At 41.3% G+C, this 19,794-nt stretch overlaps 1 protein-coding gene across 7 annotated transcripts in view; it reads left to right on the forward strand.

Annotated features, from left to right (window-relative positions):
* Positions 1–19,794, forward strand: part of GALNTL6 (polypeptide N-acetylgalactosaminyltransferase like 6) — a 1,228,156-nt gene that overhangs the window by 1,186,813 nt on the left and 21,549 nt on the right. For all 7 annotated transcript variants that reach the window (NM_001034845.3, XM_017008244.3, XM_011531993.3 and 4 more), the window contains one exon: positions 8,962–9,078. In NM_001034845.3, coding sequence (NP_001030017.2) covers positions 8,962–9,078 — 117 coding nt within the window. The remainder of the gene's footprint in view (positions 1–8,961; positions 9,079–19,794) is intronic.

Raw genomic sequence — 19,794 nt, forward strand, 5'->3', positions numbered from 1 at the left:
AAGTTAACTTGCTTAATGCCATGCAGCCCTACTAAATGGTGAAATCAAACTCTGGGCAGTCTAACTTCAGAATATGTGCATTTAACCACTACATTATATGTCTCCCGAAAAATAAATGAGAGTAGAAACACATTTAACAAATGGGTCTAAAGACTCATAAAAAACCACAAAATGTTACTGAAAGAAATTGCATATCTAAATAAATGGAAAAACATCCCATGTTCATGGATTTAAAAACGTGTTATTGTTAAATGGTGATACTACGCAAAGTGATCTACAGATTAGATGCAATCTATCAAAATCTAAATGGAATATTTTGTGAAAATAGAAAAACCCATCCTAAAATTTATATGGAATCTCAAAGGAACCTGAATAATGAAAACAATCTTGAACAAGAAAAACAAAGTTGGAGAACCCACATTTCCTAATTTCAAAACTTAATACAAAGCTACAGTAATCCAAAAAATGTGTGGTACAGGCATAAAGATAGACATATAGACCAAGGGAATCCAATAGATTGCCAAGAAATAAGCCCTCACATGCAAAGTTAATTGATTTTTGACAAGGGTGCCAATATCACTCAATAAGGAATGGACAGTCTGTTCAACAAATGGTGCTGGGAAAACTGGATATCCACTACTAATGGATTGAATTATGTCTCCCCAAAATTTATATGTTGAAATCCTAATCCTTGGTACCTCAGAATGTAACCTTATTTGGAAATCAGGTTATTGCAGATGTAATTAATTAAGATGAGATTATTCTGAGTATGGTGGGCCCCAATCCAATATGATTGGTGTCTTCATAAAAAGGGGAAATTTGGACACCAGCACACACACAAACAGAACATCAAGTGAACATAAAAGCAGAAACCAGCATGATATGTTAACAAGCCAAGGAACATCAAAGATTGCCACAAACCACCAGAAACTAGGAGAGAAGCATATTATGTACTCTCTTTCACAGCCCTCAGGAGGAACCAACCTGCAAACACCTTGATCTTGGTCTTTTAGCCTCCAAAACTGTCAGGCAATAAATTGCTGTAGTTTAATCCACTTGGTTTGTGGTGCTTTCCTTCGGAAGCCATTTCAAACTAATATATCTACGTGCAAAAAAATGAGGTTGTAAAATTTACTTTACACTATACACAAAATTTAATTCTAAATGGACCTAAACATAAGAGCTAAAACTATAAAACTCAGAATAAAACATAGGGGAAAATCTCCATGGCATTGGAATGTCAATGATCTCTTAAATATGACACTAAAGCACAGGCAACAAAAGAAAACAAATAGATAAATTGGACTTCATGAAAGTTAAAACTTTTGTGCATCAAAGGCACAATTGACAGAATGAAAAGGTAACCCACTGAATAGGATAAAATATTTACAAGTCATATATCTGATAAGGGATTAAGATCTAGAATATATATTTTCAAAACTCCTTAAACAAAAATAAAACCACAAATGACTCAATTCAGAAATAGGCAAAGAACCTGAATAGGCATTTCTCCAAACTATACAAATGCTCAATAAACAAATGAAAAGGTTTTCAACATCATTAGTCATTAGGGAAAAGCAAATCAAAACCACAATGAAATACCAGTTTACATCCACTAGGATGGCTATTACATAAACCAAAAAAACTACAAGTGTTGGCAAAAATATGAAGAAATTGGAACCATTGTACATTGCTTGTGGGAATGTAAAATGGTTCAGCTACTGTGGAAAACACTTTCATGGTTCCTCAAAAAGTTAAACATAGAATTACCTTAGGACCCAGCAATTTCATTCCTAGGTGTATGGGCAAAATAATTGAAAACAAGGATGGGAAAGATATTTACATGCCAGTGTTCACAGAAGCATTATTCACAGTAGCCAAAAAGTAGAAACAGGCCAGGAGCAGTGGCTCACGCCTGTAATCCCAGCACTTTGGGAGGCAGAGGTGGGCAGATCAAGAGGTCAGGAGATCGAGACCATCCTGGCCAACATGGTGAAACGCTGTCTCTACTAAATTACCAAAAGTTAGCCAGGTGTGGTGGTGCACACCTGTAGTCCCAGCTACTCAGGAGGCTGAGGCAGCGGAATCACTTGAACCCAGGAGGTGGAGAGTACAGTGAGCCAAGATTGTGCCACTGCACTCCAGCCTGGTGACAGAGTGAGACTCCATCTCAAGAAAAAGTAAATAAAAAAGTAGAAACAGTGCAAGTATCCATCAATAGATGAATGGATACAAATTTGGCATATTTATATATGTATATATTTATATATGTGTTTATTCATATAAATATATATGAGGTCGGGCATGGTGGCTCACACCTGTAATCCCAGCACTTTGGGAGGCCAAGGTGGGTGGATCATGAGGTCAGGAGATCGAGACCATCCTGGCTAATAAGGTGAAACCCTGTCTCTACTAAAAATACAAAAAAATTAGCCAGGCGTGGTGGTGCACACCTGTGGTCCCAGCTACTTGGGAGGCTGAGGCAGGAGAATCACTTGAACCCAGGAGGCGGAGGTTGCAGTGAGCCGAGATCGGGCCACTGCACTCCAGCCTGGGGGACAGAGTGAGACTCCGTCTCAAAAAAAAAAAAAAAAAAAGAATATTGGCCTTAAAAGGAAATGAAGTTCCGATACATGCTACAATGTTAAGTTAAATAAGCCAGACACAAAATGGCAAACACGGTATGGTTCCATTTATATGAGGTTTACAAAATATTATTTATAGTCAGTAGAATAGACAGTACCAGGGGTTGGGGGAGAAGGGGAAGTAGGGAGTTATTGCTTAATGATTAATAGTTGCTGTTTCGAATTATGAAATATTTTAGACATAGATCTTGGTGATGGTTACACAACATTTTGAATGCACTTAATGCTATTCAATTGAACATTTAAAATGGTTAAAATAATAAACTTTACATTATGTATATTTTATCACAATTTTTTAAAACAGCTCATGAGAAGATGTCAAAGGGCTGGGAGACTGGGATGGAGAGGAAAGGAGTGGGACATTCAGTACCTAGGACTAGAATCAGCAGAAATTGTTCATTCATTGAGGGGTAGGGAGGTGGGTATGTTTGGTGTGGCGCTCAAATTGCCAAATTGAGATCTTGGGGGATTGTGTAAGACACAGTGAAGATTAACCAGTGATACACACTGAAGAACAGGCCTGCAATGCTGGGCCAAGGCTTGTTCATCTGCATTCTCCTTCGACTTAAGTGCCGTGAGCAATCCCATGATACAATAGAAATGTGATTTGGCCATGGCAGCACCCCATTTACCATCACAGACAATTCAGCCAAAAAAATTAACAAACAAATAAATAGTAGCTAACATTTACTGACCACTTGCAACGTACAAACACTGTGCCAGGCACTTCGCATGCATCTGTTTAATCCTCACAACTGCCCTCTGAGGCATGATCGTCTTCATTTTACAAACCTTATGTTGAGCCATGCTATATCATGTGCCATTCCCTAAAAAATGCTGTACACTGTCAAACTTCAATATCCGTATTCATTTCTGATTCCTAAGGCAATAGTGTCCTTCTGTCATTTTACTGTGTACATTCAATTCTACTCATCCTCCAGGGCCCCTTCCAATGTCATCCATCCTACCAAGTGCTCCAAGCCCATCTCACCCAGAACGGTCATTTCCTCTTCAGGTCTCACTTAGCATTTAGTCTCTTAAGAAGATGTCTTCAGAGTAATGTCTCCCTGATATATGTGGGCTCCTTGAGAACAGAAGCCAGTTTTTCTTAGTCTTTGAATTTCTAACTACAAAGTGCCTTTCATTCAAAATCACTCTCAGAATGTTGACTTCCTGTAAATGGATGAATTGAGCTTTAAAAAGGACAGGAGGCTGAAGAGGGAAGATCGCTTGAGCCCAGGAGTTAAAGACTGTGGCAAGCTGTGTGAGCTGTGAACACGCCACTGCAGTCTAGCCTGGGCAACAGAGCAAGACCCTATCTCTTGAAAAAAAAAATGAGGTTATAGGGAACCTCATTTGTACCTCCTGAGCAGAACCCAGACCTGCTTAGTCTCCATCCAGTTCTCTTTCTGTGTTACCCTAGTGTCTTCTGTCTTTCCAGCTCTGCAAATAAATTTGCATTCTAAAATCAACTATAGTCCAGAGGTTGGGCAGAGTGGCTCACGCCTATAATCCCAGCACTTTGAGAGGCCAAGGCAGCGGATCATCTGAGGTCAGGAGTTCAAGACCAGCCTGCCCAACATGATGAAACCGCATCTCTACTAAAAATACAAAATTAGCTGGGAGTAGTGGTGCATGATTGTAATCCCAGCTATTTGGGAGGCTGAGGCAGGAAGATTGCTTGAACCCAGGAGGTGGAGATTGCAGTGAGCCGAGATTGAGCCATTGCACTCCAGCCTGGGGAACAAGAGTGAAACTCCATCTAACTAACTAACTAACTAAATAAATAAATAAATAAAATCAACTATAGTCCATAAAAGGGAGCATCTTAATTTTTTTGCCACGTTAAAAATTCACAGCCAGAAATATTGGAAGTCTCAAGCCTTTCTTCCATTCAGGTCCTCTCTGATGTCCTCACTAGACCATCAGGTGCACAAAGGATAGGACTGGTTCTTTTTTAATTTTTTGCTGTATACCTGGTTTCCAGCAGAGTGCCTACGACATAGCAGGTACCTAGTAAATGTTGAATGAGGAATGAACCCACCACTTCTTACTTAAAAGACCTAAGGCTACCAGGAGGAATTAGCAGACCATGCTGGCTCATTTGTTAAGCTAAGGCTAGTCCCTCTCTAACAGCCAGTTGAATCCCCTACCCCACATCTACTAGGCTCCTTGACATTTATGCCACATTCCCCTTCTCTTGTACCTCTCTGATAAAAACCTCCTGTGTTGGGAGCTGGGGGGCCGGTATTAAGCTAAGCCTGACTTCCCTTGCAGACCTAAAGAACTCCTTTACTCTCTGCCAGACCTTTTCTTGATCCTTGCCCAAAAGGAGATTATCTCGGTAATTCCTGTCACAAATTATGATTCTCCTTTTCCTCATTTTTCTCCTTCCCACCCATTCCTAGCCAAGCACTGCCTCATTTTCTAATCCTGTTAAGTGTCTCTCAGGATTCCGTGACACAATTGCAATGCTGTCAAGCCCTGAAACTGGGCATCAAAGGAATAAGGCCTGAAAATGATTGATTCTGCCATAGACATATTTAATATCCCGTGTCCTAAGTTTGGGCCCATGTGTATGTGTGTGAACTGCTTCACCTTCAGCCAGAGGTACAGAGCCCATGTTGAAAAAATATGAATCATCATAAGTGTTCTTGTCTACATTTAAAAAAAATATATTATTAGCGTGAATAAACAAGTATTAGAATCAGTTCTATTAGAATTGTATCCACTTGTTTATTTTAATGGAGTTGAGTTTGTGAGCAAAATGAGAGAATCTGAACATGTGCTGGAGAGAAGCAGGTGGACAGGTAAGAAGAGAAGCAAGTGGGAATGGCTGGATACTAATCTTGAGGAAGAGCTGGATATTAATCTCATATCCAGCTGCCTACCTTATCCTATAGTGAACTCACAGCATTTCCTCTCTGGCACAACTTTTTGCTGGAATTTACACAGATGTAGACAATTATGCCTTTGAAACCTGAAATTTGGCTTCCAAAGCAGTTTATCCCATTGTCTACACAGATGCCACTTGAGTGAGAATTTAGAAAATTCAAGAGTCTAGAAAATGGTATCCTCCATCCCTGCCAGAGGCCTTTTGAGCTCATAACATTTAAAAACAAAACAAGGCACTCCAATAGGCTTTGGTGCATATCCACAGGCAGATTTGGCAGACTTGTCACTCAGTGTTCCTGGCTTGGGTATGTTTTTTTCTCCCCCACATCCTCCTTTTCCAGGAGCAGAGCTGCTCCACATGTGAGTTCAAATGCCAGCCGACATAGGAGAGTAAGCTTCTCCCCTGGGACCCACTGGCCATGAACCTGCAAGCAGCTGCTTTTTCTTCCCAAATGTGTTCAGAGCTCCTGGACTCAAGTAGAGAGAAAAATAGTGCCTTGAAGTTGTCTTCAGTATAAACTGATACTGGTTCTCTAAGAAGAGTGTGTCTGTGAGTTAAATGGCCCAAGAATGAAAAGAAAGGCCTGCTCAGAGTTCTGTCAGGTAGCTTTCAGGTTATAGACAGCTTTAGAAAACCAACACGCTGCACTCAGATAAGGAGATCAAATAGGAGATTTACAGAGTGTGCCAGGCTCAAGACAGCAATAGCAAAATCTACCTTTGACCTTCTGGGTGTTTCTATTTCACTAGAGAAACTCCATCACACATCAGGAAATTGATTTTACAAAACGTGTATTTTAAGCTTGGCTTCACAAATTCTAGAGAGAAGTTCCTCCCTGGTACTTATTTCAAGGAAGGTGTAGTAAAGGTAAAAGAAATGAGAGCAAATCAGGTGCCTTCTGACAACCAGCCAAGTTCATTCCCTGTCTTTCTAGATCTCCTACACTGAGAGAAGGAATGCAACTAGTTCCCAAGGGGTCAGGGCAGGCATTTTCCCTAATTCAGGGTTCAAATCTGGAGTCGATGGGTTCCAGGAAAACCAACTTGAAAGTGCTTGGACATATCCACTTATAGTTTTGTTTGTTTGTTTCAAAAATGTCCACCACTTTCCTTGGATTCTCAGAGAAATCTGTAGGCAAAACCAGGTTAAGAACTGTTCCCCTGTACTCTGCATTATTTCACATTACCTTGTCATCAGGGACAGAGATCCTGAAAGCAGAGCCCCAGCAGTAGCAGATGAAGCCAACCTGTTGCCTAAGTCCCTATTGAATAAGGAGATTAGTACCCACCACATTGATTCCCTCCTGACTGGCATCCCCAACCTCTACTCCTAGAATAAATGAAATATGAACTACTCTTTCCACCACCACCATTCTGTCCCAGCATTATTTATTCCTTTCATGATACTCCGTATATTTCATAAAAACCTCCTCTCTGCCTCATTGCCCACCCCAGCAGGAACAGGCCCAGGTGGGTATTCTTCTGTTGCAGAGACTCCTTTCCTTATCTACTCATCCAGGCAAAAGAACCTTGGTTAAATCATCAGTTGGGCCCATCCTGGTTTTGTTTCCATTCTTATAAGGACCTGAAGGTATTATCATAATCCAGGACTATATAAGGGCTTAAAAAGGATTAAGATCATTGACTTTCTGTAAGCATACACACCTAAATAGCAAACTATCAAGAATATCCATCTCTGCTACAGGCTGTGCTTCTGACACTATCAGGAAGATTGGCGAAACCTTCAAGCAGGAAGATATGATGGAAGGGCCAGGCGTGGTGGCTCACACCTGTAATCCCAACACTTTGGGAGGCCGAGGCAGGTGGATCAAGTGAGGTCGGGAGTTCAAGACCAGCCTGGCCAACATGGTGAAACCCCATCTCTATAAAAATACCAAAATTAGCTTGGCGTGGTGGCACACGCCTGTAATCCCAGCTATTCAGGAGGCTGAGGTAGGATAATTGCTTGAACCTGGGAGGTGGAGGTTGCAGTGAGCCGAGATTGCGCCACTGCACTCCAGCCTGGGTGACAGAGTGAAACTTGGTCTCAAAAAAAAAAACAAGATATGACAAAAGGACATGTCTCTGCCCAGACTCTACTTCTGTTGCTGTTTCAGCTTTTGACACTTTTTATCACCACTCTTTTCCCACCTCTAAGTATTGAGTTCCTTATATCAGTGCTAACATAATTGTAAAGAATTATCCTTTTTTCCACTCTGCAAATTTTCAAAGGTCAGGCTTTATGTAGAGAATCTTTATCCATTACAGTATTTCAGCAATAACACTGTCTTTCCTATTTTGCTAATACTCTAGAGTGACATTTAATTTATCATCCAAAAGCAATGCTAAACTATGACAATAGGTGTAGACCAAGACCATTGTAGCCAAACTGAAGCCAAAGGTCACCATGTTCCGCACAGAACCATGCAGGGCTAAGTGGTTCACTCGCCTCCATCACATCCTATAACTGCAACATCCGCCTCATATTGGATCTCTCTCCCGCTAGCATGATAGTGGTAGAAGGTGCTTTGAAGCAGGAAGATAATAAATTCCAAATTAAGCACTATCTGAAAAGAAAAGTCTCCCATTTTACTGAAGTCATAAACTCTAGGCTACTGCCTATGTTGCATTATCAACACATTCTTTGCCCCAACCAGCTGCAGTTTGGCTGTTTAACCATCCCATGTTCTTTAGCATGTCGAGTAGACCATGTTTTAACCATAATAGGCCTGTTGCCTGATGTGTACAGCAAGTCAATACACCAAGATATGAGGTTGCAGCAGAGAAAGAGTTTAATTATAGGGCCGCTAAATGAGGAGACGGGAGGAAACCTCAAATCTGTCTCCCCAAGGAGTTTGGGGCTAGGATTTTTAAGGGTTTTGGAGTAGGCTGAAGTTAGGAAATCATTGATTGGTCACAGAGAGCAGCATAAGGTCATGGGACAGGGAGATGAAGAAACAATATTCTCATGTTGATCCATTTCCTCTGTGAGGGTCTTTAAACTGGCTGCAGTCAGCTGTTCCACTGGAATTCAATATCTGCTTAAGCAATTCTTAAGCAAAAACCTTATGATTCTAACATCAGAAATCCTATGTATAGGAACAATGGAGATGCAAATAGTCAGTGTCTAGTGCTACAGACTTTCAGTTACAAGGAAGTGGGTCAAAGTACAGACTGATTAATATTGAATTATAACTATATTTCTTTCCAGAATTCTTGTTAAGCCTGTGAAGATGGCTTCAATGTTACATTTAATTCCTTGATTTTTCTCCATAAATTGCATACAAATTCAAGGTCTCATTCAATATGCATGTAACCAAAAAGATAATCTATGTCTTACTTAATCTACACCATGGTTGTTAGGAGCCAATGATAAAATACGACATAGCCCCACACTCAAAATTCTTTCTTCTTTCCACAGATCCGAAATGTGGCAGCAAATCTCTGTGTGGACAGCAAGCATGGAGCCACCGGAACAGAGCTGAGGCTGGACATCTGTGTCAAGGATGGTTCTGAAAGAACATGGTCTCATGAACAGGTGAGTCACCTCCCAGAAGCCAGGGCAGTGGGAACCAGTCGGGGGCTGATGCAGACACAGAGGGATGCAGCTGGAACAAATCTCCGAATGGTGCAGATGGTACTTGTGGGACCTGGAGTGAGGCCGCTGTATCACCAACCAGCTCTGCAGTTCAGTGAATCACTTAATGTCTCTGTTTATGTTTCTTCTCAGAGCAGTTGTGATGATCAGTTCAGATAATGTACACAATTATCCTCTAAATATGAGAAAGGATGGGAGAAATGTGGATTGCGACCCTAGTCTTACTTCTTTTCCCAGAATGGTAGTTTAACAGAGGAAGCCTGTAGAGTGCTTTGGAACACTTCCAACTAAATTTCATGGTTTTAATGACTCTGCTGTTCTGTGTTTGTGATGTCATCTTAAACTTGCTTTTCCCCTGACCATGAACAGATCACTTTACATGGGCCTCCTGTTGTTGTAGTAGTTTTTAATCTTACATGTGAAGGATGTAAGCAACAGCACCCCAACATGGACTTCAGGAAATACTTTAAGGCTATGTATTGCTTTTATTGATTTTTGTTTTGTTTGCTTTTTTCTATTTTTGGGGGCACATAGTAGGTGTATATATGGGGTACATGAAATGTTTTGATACAGTCATGCAATGCATAACAATCACATCATGTAAAATGGTGTCCATCCCCTCAAGCATTTATCCTTTGTGTTACAAACAATCCAATTATATTATTTTACTTATTTTGAAATGTACAATTAACTTATTATTGACTATAGTCACCGTGTTGTGCTATCAAATACTAGGTCTTTTTCATTCTTTCTATTTTTTGTACCCATTTAGCATCCCCACCTCCCACTCCCCACCTCACACCCTCCCACTACCCTTGCCAGCCTCTGGTAACCATCCTTCTACTATCATCTCCATGGGTTCAATTGTTTTGATTTTTAGATCCCACAAATAAGTGAAAATATGCAATGTTTGTCTTTCCATACCTGGCTTATTTCACTTAACATAATGACCTCCAGTTCCATCCATGTTGTTGCAAATGACAGGATCTCGTTCTTCTTTATGGCTGAATAGTACTCCATTATGCATAGGTACCACATTTTCTTTATTCATTCATCTATTGATGGACACTTAGGTTGCCTCCAAATTTTGGCCATTGTGAACAGTGCTGCATCAAACATGGGAGTGCAGGTGTCTCCTCGATATACTGATTTCCTTTCTTTTGGGTATACACCCAGCAGTGGTATTGCTGGATCACATGATAGCTCAATTTTTAGTGTGTTTTTTTTGTTGTTTTTTTTGTTTTGTTTTGTTTTGTTTTTAAACGGAGTCTCGCTCTGTCACCAGGCTGGAGTGCAGTGGCGCAATCTCGGCTCACTACAACCTCCGACTCCCTGGTTCAAACGATTCTCCTTCCTCAGCCTCCCGAGAAGCTGGGATTACAGGCACACACCACCATGCCCAGCTAATTTTTGTATTTTTTTTTTTTTTTTTAGTAGAGACAGGGGTTCACCATGTTGGCCAGAATGGTCTCGATCTCCTGACCTCATGATCTGCCCACCTTGGCCTCCCAAAGTGCTGGGATTACAGGCATAAGCCACCACGCCCAGCCAATTTTTAGTTTTTTGAGGAACCTCCAAACTGTTCTCCATAGTACCTGTACTAAGTTACATTCCTGCCAACAATGTAAAAGTTTTCCCATTTCTCCGTATCCTCAACAGCATTTGTTATTGCCTATCTTTTGGATAAAAGCCATTTCAACTGGGGTGAGATGATAACTCATTGTAGTTTTGATCTGCATTTCTTTGATGATCGATAATCTTGGGCATCTTTTCATATGCCAGTTTGCCATTTGTATGTCTTCTTTTGAGAAATATCTATTAAAATCTTCTGCCAATTTTTAATCAAATTATTAGGTTTTTTACATAGAGTTGTTTGAGCTCCTTATCTATTACAGTTATTAATCCCTTGTCAGATGGGTATTTTGCAAATATTTTCTCCCATTCTGTGGGTTGTCTCTTCACTGTGTTGATTGTTTCCTTTGCCGTGCAGAAGCTTTTTAGTTTGATGTGATCCAATTTGTCTATTTTTGCTTTGGCTGCCTGTGCTTGGGGGGTATTACTCAAGACATTTTGCCCAGACCAATGTCCTGGAGAGTTTCCTCAATGTTTTCTTGTAGTAGTTGTATAGTTTGAGGTCTTAGATTTAAGTCTTTAATCCATTTTAATTTGATTTTTGTACATGACAAGAGATGGGGTCAATCTACTCTCCAGAGTAGCTGGGATTACAGGCTTCTGCATGTGGATATCCAGTTTTCCCAGCACCATTTATTAAAGAGACTGTCTTTTCCCCAGTGTACGTTCTTGGTACCTTTGTCAAAAATGAGTTGACTGTAGGTGTGTGGATTTGTTTTTGGGTTCTCTATTCTGTTCTGTGTAAGACTTAATTGCTTTTAATTGAAAAACATTTCATTGCAACTCAGTTTAAGTGAGATGTGATTTCTAACCCTCTTAGAAATTTGAAAGTCCTTGCAAGCAGCTTCCCTGATACTGTGTCACCTGTGAAAGGGAAAAGATAGTGGGCAAAATTGCCTTTGCTCTCTTTTAGCGTTTTCGTTTCTTGTATTTTAGAGATGGGGTCTTGCTCTGTCACCCAGGCTGGAGTGCAGTGATGTGATCAAAGCTCACTGCAGCCTCAAACTCCTGGGCTCAAGCGATCCTCTTGCCTCAGCAGCCTGAGTAGCTCAGACCACAGGTGCATACCACCAAGCTCACCTAACCCTTTTCACTGTTTTAATTTTAAATTAAGAAATATTTCAATAGAAAGCTATAGAAAATATCATAGCAGATATTTATGTACTCATCACACTCATCTCTTATGAAAAGCAAAAAAGCAAGCAAGCAGTTCCCAGTAAGGCGTTACTGCCTCCTATAGCCAGATTCCTCTGGTGCCCATCTTGTACATTAAACTAGAAAAGGTCCACCATGCCCAGCGCAGGATGTTAAAGAGTTGTCCAGATGTGTTGAGATTCACCTCCCTCGCCCCACCTCACTGCCCCTCCCTGCCCTCTACCACGCATTACAATGCAGAGCATCATGATGCGAGGAAAACAGCCACAGAACAAGTCCACAATACAATCCAGAGATGTTCAGTCCATCAACAGTGCCTCTCCCCTAACCACTGATCCAATCTTTGAACCCTCTCCCCACAGCCTCATGGTATTCTAGGAGGACTGTGGGCCTTGTAGCCAGGCCAACCTGGATTTTAGTTTAAACCATGTGGCCTTGTGAAGTTGTGAAATCTTTCTAGGCCATAGTTCTTCCATCTTGGACAGGGTGGTTAGGAGAATAAATCTTGGGGCAGCATCTTGCACATGCAGCAGGTGCAGAGTAATATCCTCTCCCTCCTGCCTTCCTTCTCTCAAACACTCACAAATCCCTTTATGCTAATACCAAATTAGAAACCTCTCTCAGGTCCAAGGCAGCTGGGACTTTGGCTTCATTTATCTGTTCCCAGCATAGTCAGCAAATACTAGTTATTATTCACTCAAATGCGCCCTGCATGGCTGGGCACGGTGACTCGCGCCTATAATCCCAGCACTTTGGGAGGCTGAGGCGGGTGGCTCACTTGAGGTCAGGAGTTCGAGACCAGCCTGGCTAACATTTTGAAACCCCGTCTCTACTAAAAATACAAAAATCAGCCAGGCGTGGTGGCTGATTATATACATATATCCAGAGGGGTTTATAGAAGGCTCTGTGACTCCCAGATTTATTGATAGGAATCAAATATCAGTGAAAAGTTATTTGCCTCCTCCTTCCTCTGTCTGTTTCTATAAGCTCCATGGGGATGTTACTGGGGACCTGAGGAATGGTGTTGGACTGTTAACTCCAACAAGCAATTCTGACTTCAGCCTGGGAGCAAGAGAGAAGGCTTTAGAAGCTATCGGTAAGGCTGGCATCTAGAGTGGAAAAGAACTTTTTTAAAAAGAAAAAGGAGGAAACCATAAGGAAAAGCTTCATTTCTTGGGCTAAATTCCTCTCTACCATCTCTATTCAACCCAACTAAGAAACACACATGGCCAGCTGGTGAATATAAAGCAGGCCTTAATGTCTGAACTGGGCTTAGTATTTCTATCCAGTAATGCTCTAGAATGAAATCTTCTCTGGCCTGCAGATTTTATTTGACAGCGGAACATGGATATAAACAAAGGCAACGATATTGCATACACTTTAAAAATTGCTGGTTCACTCCCCGCACCCCCCACGTCCCCCAACTCCCCACCTCCCACCCCCAGGCTAAAATGCAAAAATCTATGGCCCGTAATTCAAGAAATGGTCACCAGAGGGCAGCACTAGACAAGCAGAAAACTACATAGGCAGAACAGAAAGACCAGTTAATACAGCTCTTTAAAAAGATTTCCTGTCTCTAGAGATCCTAAAAATGAAGCTACAGTAGGATTAAATAAGGTTGATAAGTGGTGGAAAATGCATCATGTTTGAAATATTGCCATATATTGACTTGGAGGTTAAAACATTACAAGCTGTTTCATTCACCAGTAATTAACTGTAAGCTTTATTCAATATATCACTCAGTGACTTACAAGAATTAGGAAGCACTCTTCTACATTTAGATTAAAATTCCTGCATGAGGAAGGCATATCGGAACATGACAATTATGGATTTTCTTTTTAATTCAAAAACATTCAAAAAACACAAAAGGAGACTTATTAGAGTTGAAATAATCCGTTTTTTTCCAAAAAAAAAAGTGGCAAAAATTAAAAAAAGGAAAAAACAAAATTGTTACATGGGAAATAAAAAAGAGTCCATTGAAGGACCTGTATAAGAAAATGCCTTCTGCTGCAGAACACTGGTGGTGACTAACGTGGTTTCTGTGAAGGAAGCAAATGTATGATTCATTTTGCCAGGGCAATCTGCATAGCTGTTTGATATCATGGTAGCATTATGCTTCCTTTAGGGATCAAGAAAGAAAAACAAAAATAGATCCTAATAAGACTATAAGGTCTGGAAAGAACATTCCCCAGCTCCCATTGAGTCCAAGGGAGAGGAGTGGCGGGGAGGAACCCCCTTGGTCTAGTTTGGCTGTTCCCACTCTGCAGGCCCAGCAGCAGGCTCTGATGTCATGCTGGGGAGCAAGTGTTGCAGCCCAGCTTTCGTCCTCCCGAGGAAGCAAACACTGGCTCCCTCTCCAGGGCCTAGGGGAAGGTTCACAAAGACAGAAGCAAGCAAATGTGTGCATCCAGGGGACAGATTTTTTTCCTTTCTTTTTTCTCTCTTTGGGAAAAAAGAGTCTCATTATCAAGACAGAGCGAACTGATGGGTGCAAACTGCAAGGAGAAACATGCTGTATCTCAGGTTTCTGCAAACCTCATAACAATGAAATAAAACATCACAATCCAGACAGAGAAAAATATTTTCTGCTGTCTCAAGTCAGGTAGCAAGAGCAAGAGATAAGTGTATTGGCAGTACCAAATCCAGTGACCTTATTCATATAATACAAACGGACCCAGGCAACATGACACATATCACATTAATATTAAAGCAAAGAAATAAGAGTTAACATTGTGATATGGTTTGGCTGTGTCCCCAAATCTCATCTTGAATTGTAGTTCGCATAATCCCCATGTGTCATGGGAGGGACCCAGTGGGAGGTAATTTAATCATGAGGGCAGTTACCTTCATGCTGTTTTCCTGATAGTGACTGAGTTCTCATAAGATCTGATGGTTCTATAAGGCGCTTTTCCCCCTTTTGTTTGGCACTGCTCCTTGCTGCCGCCATGTGACGATGGATGTGTTTGCTTCCTCTTCTGCCATGATTGTAAGTTTCCTGAGGCCTTCCCAGCCATGCTGAAATGTGAATGAATTAAACATCTCTCATTTATAATTTACTCAGTCTCAGGTATGTCTTTATTAGCAGCATGAGAACAGACTAATACAGTAAATTGATACTGGTAGGGTAGGGTGCTGCTATAAGGATACCTGAAAATGTGGCAGCAACTGTGGAACTGGGTAACAGACAGAGGTTGGAACAGTTTGGAGGGCTCAGAAGAAGAAAGGAAAATGTGAGAAAGTTTGGAACTTGCTAGAGATTTGGAGGGCTCAGAAGACAGGAAAATGCAGGAAAGTTTGGAACTTCCTAGAGACTTGTTAAATTACTTTGACCAAAATGCTGATAATGATAAGGACAATGAAGTCCAGGCTGAGGTGGTCTCAGATGGAGATGAAGAACTTGTTGGGAACTGGAGTAAAAGTCACTCTTGTTATGCAAAGAGACTGGTGGCATTTTGCCCCTGCCCTAGAGATCTGTGGAACTTTGAACTTGAGAGTGATGATTTAGGGTATGTGGCAGAAGAAATCTCTAAGTAGCAAAGCATTCAGGAGGAAGCAGAGCACAAAATTTGGAAAATTTGCAGCCTAACGATGAGATAGAAAAAAAAATTTCTGGAGATAAATTCCAGCCTGCTACAGAAATTTGCATAATTAATGAGCAGCCAAATGTTAATCACCAAGACAATAGGGAATATGTCTCCAGAGCAAATCACAGACCTTCACAGCAGCCCCTCCCATCACAGACCCAGAGGTCTAGGAGTCAAAAATGGTTTCTTGGGCCAGGCCCAGGGCCCCCTGCTCTGTGTGGCCTCAGGACACGGTGCCGTGTCCCAGCTGCTTCAGCTCCAGCATGGCTAAAAGGTGCCAAGGTACAGCTCAGGCCATTGATTCAGAGGGTGCAAGCCCCAAGCCTTAGCACCTTCCATGTAGTGTTGGGCCTGCAGGTGCACAGAAGTCAATAATTAAGCTTGGGGAACCTCCACCTAGATTTCAGAGGATGTATGGAAATGCCTGGCTGTCCGGGCAGAGGTGTGCTATAGTGGTGGGATCCTCTTGGAGAACCTCTGCTAGGGTAGTGCAGAAGGGAAATGTGGGGTTGGAGCCCCTACACAGAGTCCCCACTGGGGCACTACCTAGTGGATCTGGGAGAAGAGGGCCACCATCCTCCAGACCCCAGTATGGTAGACCCACTGACAGCTTGCACCATGCACCTGAAAAAGCCACAGGCACTCAATGCCAGCCTGCGAAAGCAGCTGGGAGGGGGCTGAAACCTGTAAAGCCACAGGGGCAGAGCTGTCCAAGGCCATGGAAGCCCACTTCTTGCATCAGCATAACCTGGATGTGAGACATGGAGTCAAAGGAGATCATTTTGGAACTTTAAGGTTTAATGACTGCCCCACTGGATTTTGGACTTGCATGGGGCCTTTAGTCCCTATGTTTTGGCCAATTTCTCCCATATGGAATGGCTGTGTTTACCCAATGCCTGTACCCACATTGTATCTAGGAATAACCAACTTGCATTTGATTTTACAGGCTCATAGGCGGAGGGTACTTGCCTTGTCTCAGATGAGACTTTGGACTTAGACTTTTGAGTTAATGTTGGAATGAGTTAAGACTTTGGGGGACTATTGGAAGGGCATGATTGTGTTTTGAAATGTGAGGACATGAGATTTGGAAGGGGCCAGGGGCAGAATGATATGGTTTGGCTGTGTCTCCACCCAAATCTCATCTTGAATTGTAGTTCCCATAATCCCCACATGTTGTGGGAGGGACCCAGTGGGAGGTAATTTGATCATGGGGGTGGTTACCCTCATGTTGTTCTCATGACAGTGAGTGAGTTCTCATGAGATCTGATGGCTTTATAAGGGGCTTTTCCCCCTTTTGCTTGGCACTGCTCCTTGCTGTCACCATGTGAAGGAGGATGTGTTTGCTTTATCTTCTACCATGATTGTAAGTTTCCTGAGGCCTCCCCAGCCATGCTGAGCTGTGAGTCAATTAAACCTCTTTCTTTTATAAATTACCCAGTCTTGGGTATGTCTTTATTAGCAGCATGAGAATGGACTAATATACATTGTAAATCTATGTTTTAAAGGATCATTCAAAAGAAGAAAGCAGAGAAATTAACATCAACTTACTTTAACACTGAGGAATTTAAGGTTGAAAAGAAATCAAGGGTTATTGTACAGGAAACCTGAAGAAAATCTACATTCTTCTGTCAATAAGAGCAGGCCAAGGGTGAAGACAAACTATAAATGTCACAATGACATTACCCAAAGCAAACAATGAATATAATTCAATGAATATAATTTCATAATGTCTGTTTCTGCTTTGACAAGCTTGCAGACAGGAAAATGTGCCAATGAAAAGACTCAATGCCTGATTGGTTTGACATGGCCACTGAGATAAGATAAATGGCAATAAGAAGTATTTCAAAGACCTAAGAGAGAAAAAAATGAGCTAATCGTAGGTGTAGAAGAATAAAGTAATTGATATAATCTGAAGATGTATCACCTTGGATGCAGGAAAGTAATCAACAGGTAATAATAATAATACATAAAACACTGTGAAAATGACAAGCTAACCATCAGGCTACAAATGTAAGCATGATCATGGCACTACAATACGCAGAAACAAGAAACAGAGGTCACCTAAGGATGCCCTCAGATATAATTGTGACAATAGGTGAATAAAGTTGCCCAACAGACAGATTTGCCAGTGTTTGCTGTAACACAGGTATTCTTTTGGACTTAACTGATGCATTTAGTAAAATGTATGAAAAGGCCATCTACCAAAGAAGGGAGGACTTTTGAGGTGTGACAGAAGCAAGACACTCATTTTCTGCAGGCCTGATTTTCCCTAACTGACTCATGAGGGACTGTACTAGGTAGTGATTACATTCCCTTTAAGCTCTGGCCTTCTGAGTGTATAAAAACCAAAGACAGAGAGATGGAGACAGAGAGGGAAATAAATCAATCAAGACCACTTGTTCCTGCATTGGTTGGACTGCCTATAGTACAAGGGAAATGTGCTATTTAAATAAAATAAAGATTTAATCAAAGCCAATGGCAGGTTTATTCGCCAGGAAATTTCTATTAATTTCTATTCCAATGATAGGTAACTGAATCCAGAGTCATCAAAGTTGAAAATTCAAAATATAAGCATTATCATTTGCTATTGTTGTAATTAAACAGCACAAACTCATTTGAGAGACTAAAAAGAGATTCATTAATTTTGATAGTTAACATATAATAACAGATAATTGTGGGTTTTATTTATTCAATAGAAATTTAATTGAGGATCTATTGTGTGTCATAAATTGTTCTGGGTGCTGGAAACACAAAGGTAAAAATGCTCCAAGCCCTGCAACTAAGGATCTCACTGTCTAGGGAGGGATAGAGAAACATAAGTGGACAATCATGATGAAATAGGTAAGGGATGGAAAGGAGTAAGCAGTTCAAAGAGGATGGCTTCCTGGATGAGTGGACACTTGAACTGAATCTTACATGACAGATGAGCATTACCTAGGTTGGCTAGTGAATGTCTGTTTTCCAACCAGAGGGATTTACGTGAACACGGCACAGAAGGAAATACACAGCCTGGTTTGTGTGAGAACTACAGAGGTTTTAGCATTGCTGGAACATAAACTTGAAGGAAAGGAATGTAGGTGGAAAGAACAGCAAAGGCCAGATTGTGGAGCGTTCCTAAGAGGTCAAAGAGTTTGAACTTTATTCTCTAGGGGTTATGTGAAAAGGTTGTGAGATTTTAGATTGAGAGGGAACAAGGCCACACAGGCCTTTCCAACAGACTTCCTTGGAGGCTGAGGAAGGCAGATGTGTGGTAACCAAAAAAGCCAGTTTGGAGATCATTGCAAGAGCTATTGAGAGCAATGGTTGTGGGCATAGAAGGGAATGAACAAATTCCAGAAATGTTTATAAAACAAAAATGGTAAGACTTGGTCATTGATTAGATGAGGATGGTAAGGGAGACAAAGGAGTTAAAGACTCCAAGGTTGATAAAGTGCATGACATGACCACCAATTAAACCAAAATAGAGGGGCAGGAACAAGGCAGAAGAGAAGAAAATCAATTGCATTTAGAACATGCTGGATCTGAGATGTCCATGGGACATGCAGCTGGGAAATTCTGCAAGGAACTGGACATAAGATGGATGATGAGTGACCGGCATACTGGTGAGAGTTGAAATGAGAGTGTAAAAGACCAACCAGGGGAGGTGCAAGGACAGGGTCCAAGAGAGAACCCTGAGCAACACCTGCAGTGGAGAGATGCATGAAAGAGAGGGTGGTGAGACAGTTATAGGACAACAGAGGTGCACAGTGCTTCAAAATCCAAGAGAGCAGTGAGTTCTGAATAGAAGAGAGTGATCAAAATCTGAATAGACATTTCCTTGAGAAGCCATTCTTCTCTGCAGGATTTAAATGAATCTAAAAATGTCTCAGTCCACAATTATACTTTAAAAACTCTAGGAAAAAAGACTACACAATTCATCTTCATGAATTTATTTCAAATGTCTATTCTAAAAACCCCTTGTTCTTCTATATGAAATCTTCTCTTTTATCCTGTCTTCCAGGGTAACAGAGTACGCAGTGGCCATGATTGAGAAGGTCGCTGTTCACATGCTCGTTTAGGTCATTTCTTGAGACCACTTAACCCAGTTCTTTGTATTTGTCTTCAGATTCCTCACCACTTAACTATCTTTGTTAGCCATCCCTGGAATTTTGCCAGGTTCTCTACATTTCCTTTCCTAGGTGGAACCTAACAGCTGAAATATACTGAGGGCCTGGTCAGTGCATAGTGTATTATCTGCATACAGCTCAGCATTGTGCTTTCTTTTATATCCACAGGGTTTCCCTGA

This window comes from Homo sapiens, chromosome 4 (genome assembly GCF_000001405.40).
Source record: "Homo sapiens chromosome 4, GRCh38.p14 Primary Assembly".
Lineage (NCBI taxonomy): Eukaryota > Metazoa > Chordata > Mammalia > Primates > Hominidae > Homo > Homo sapiens.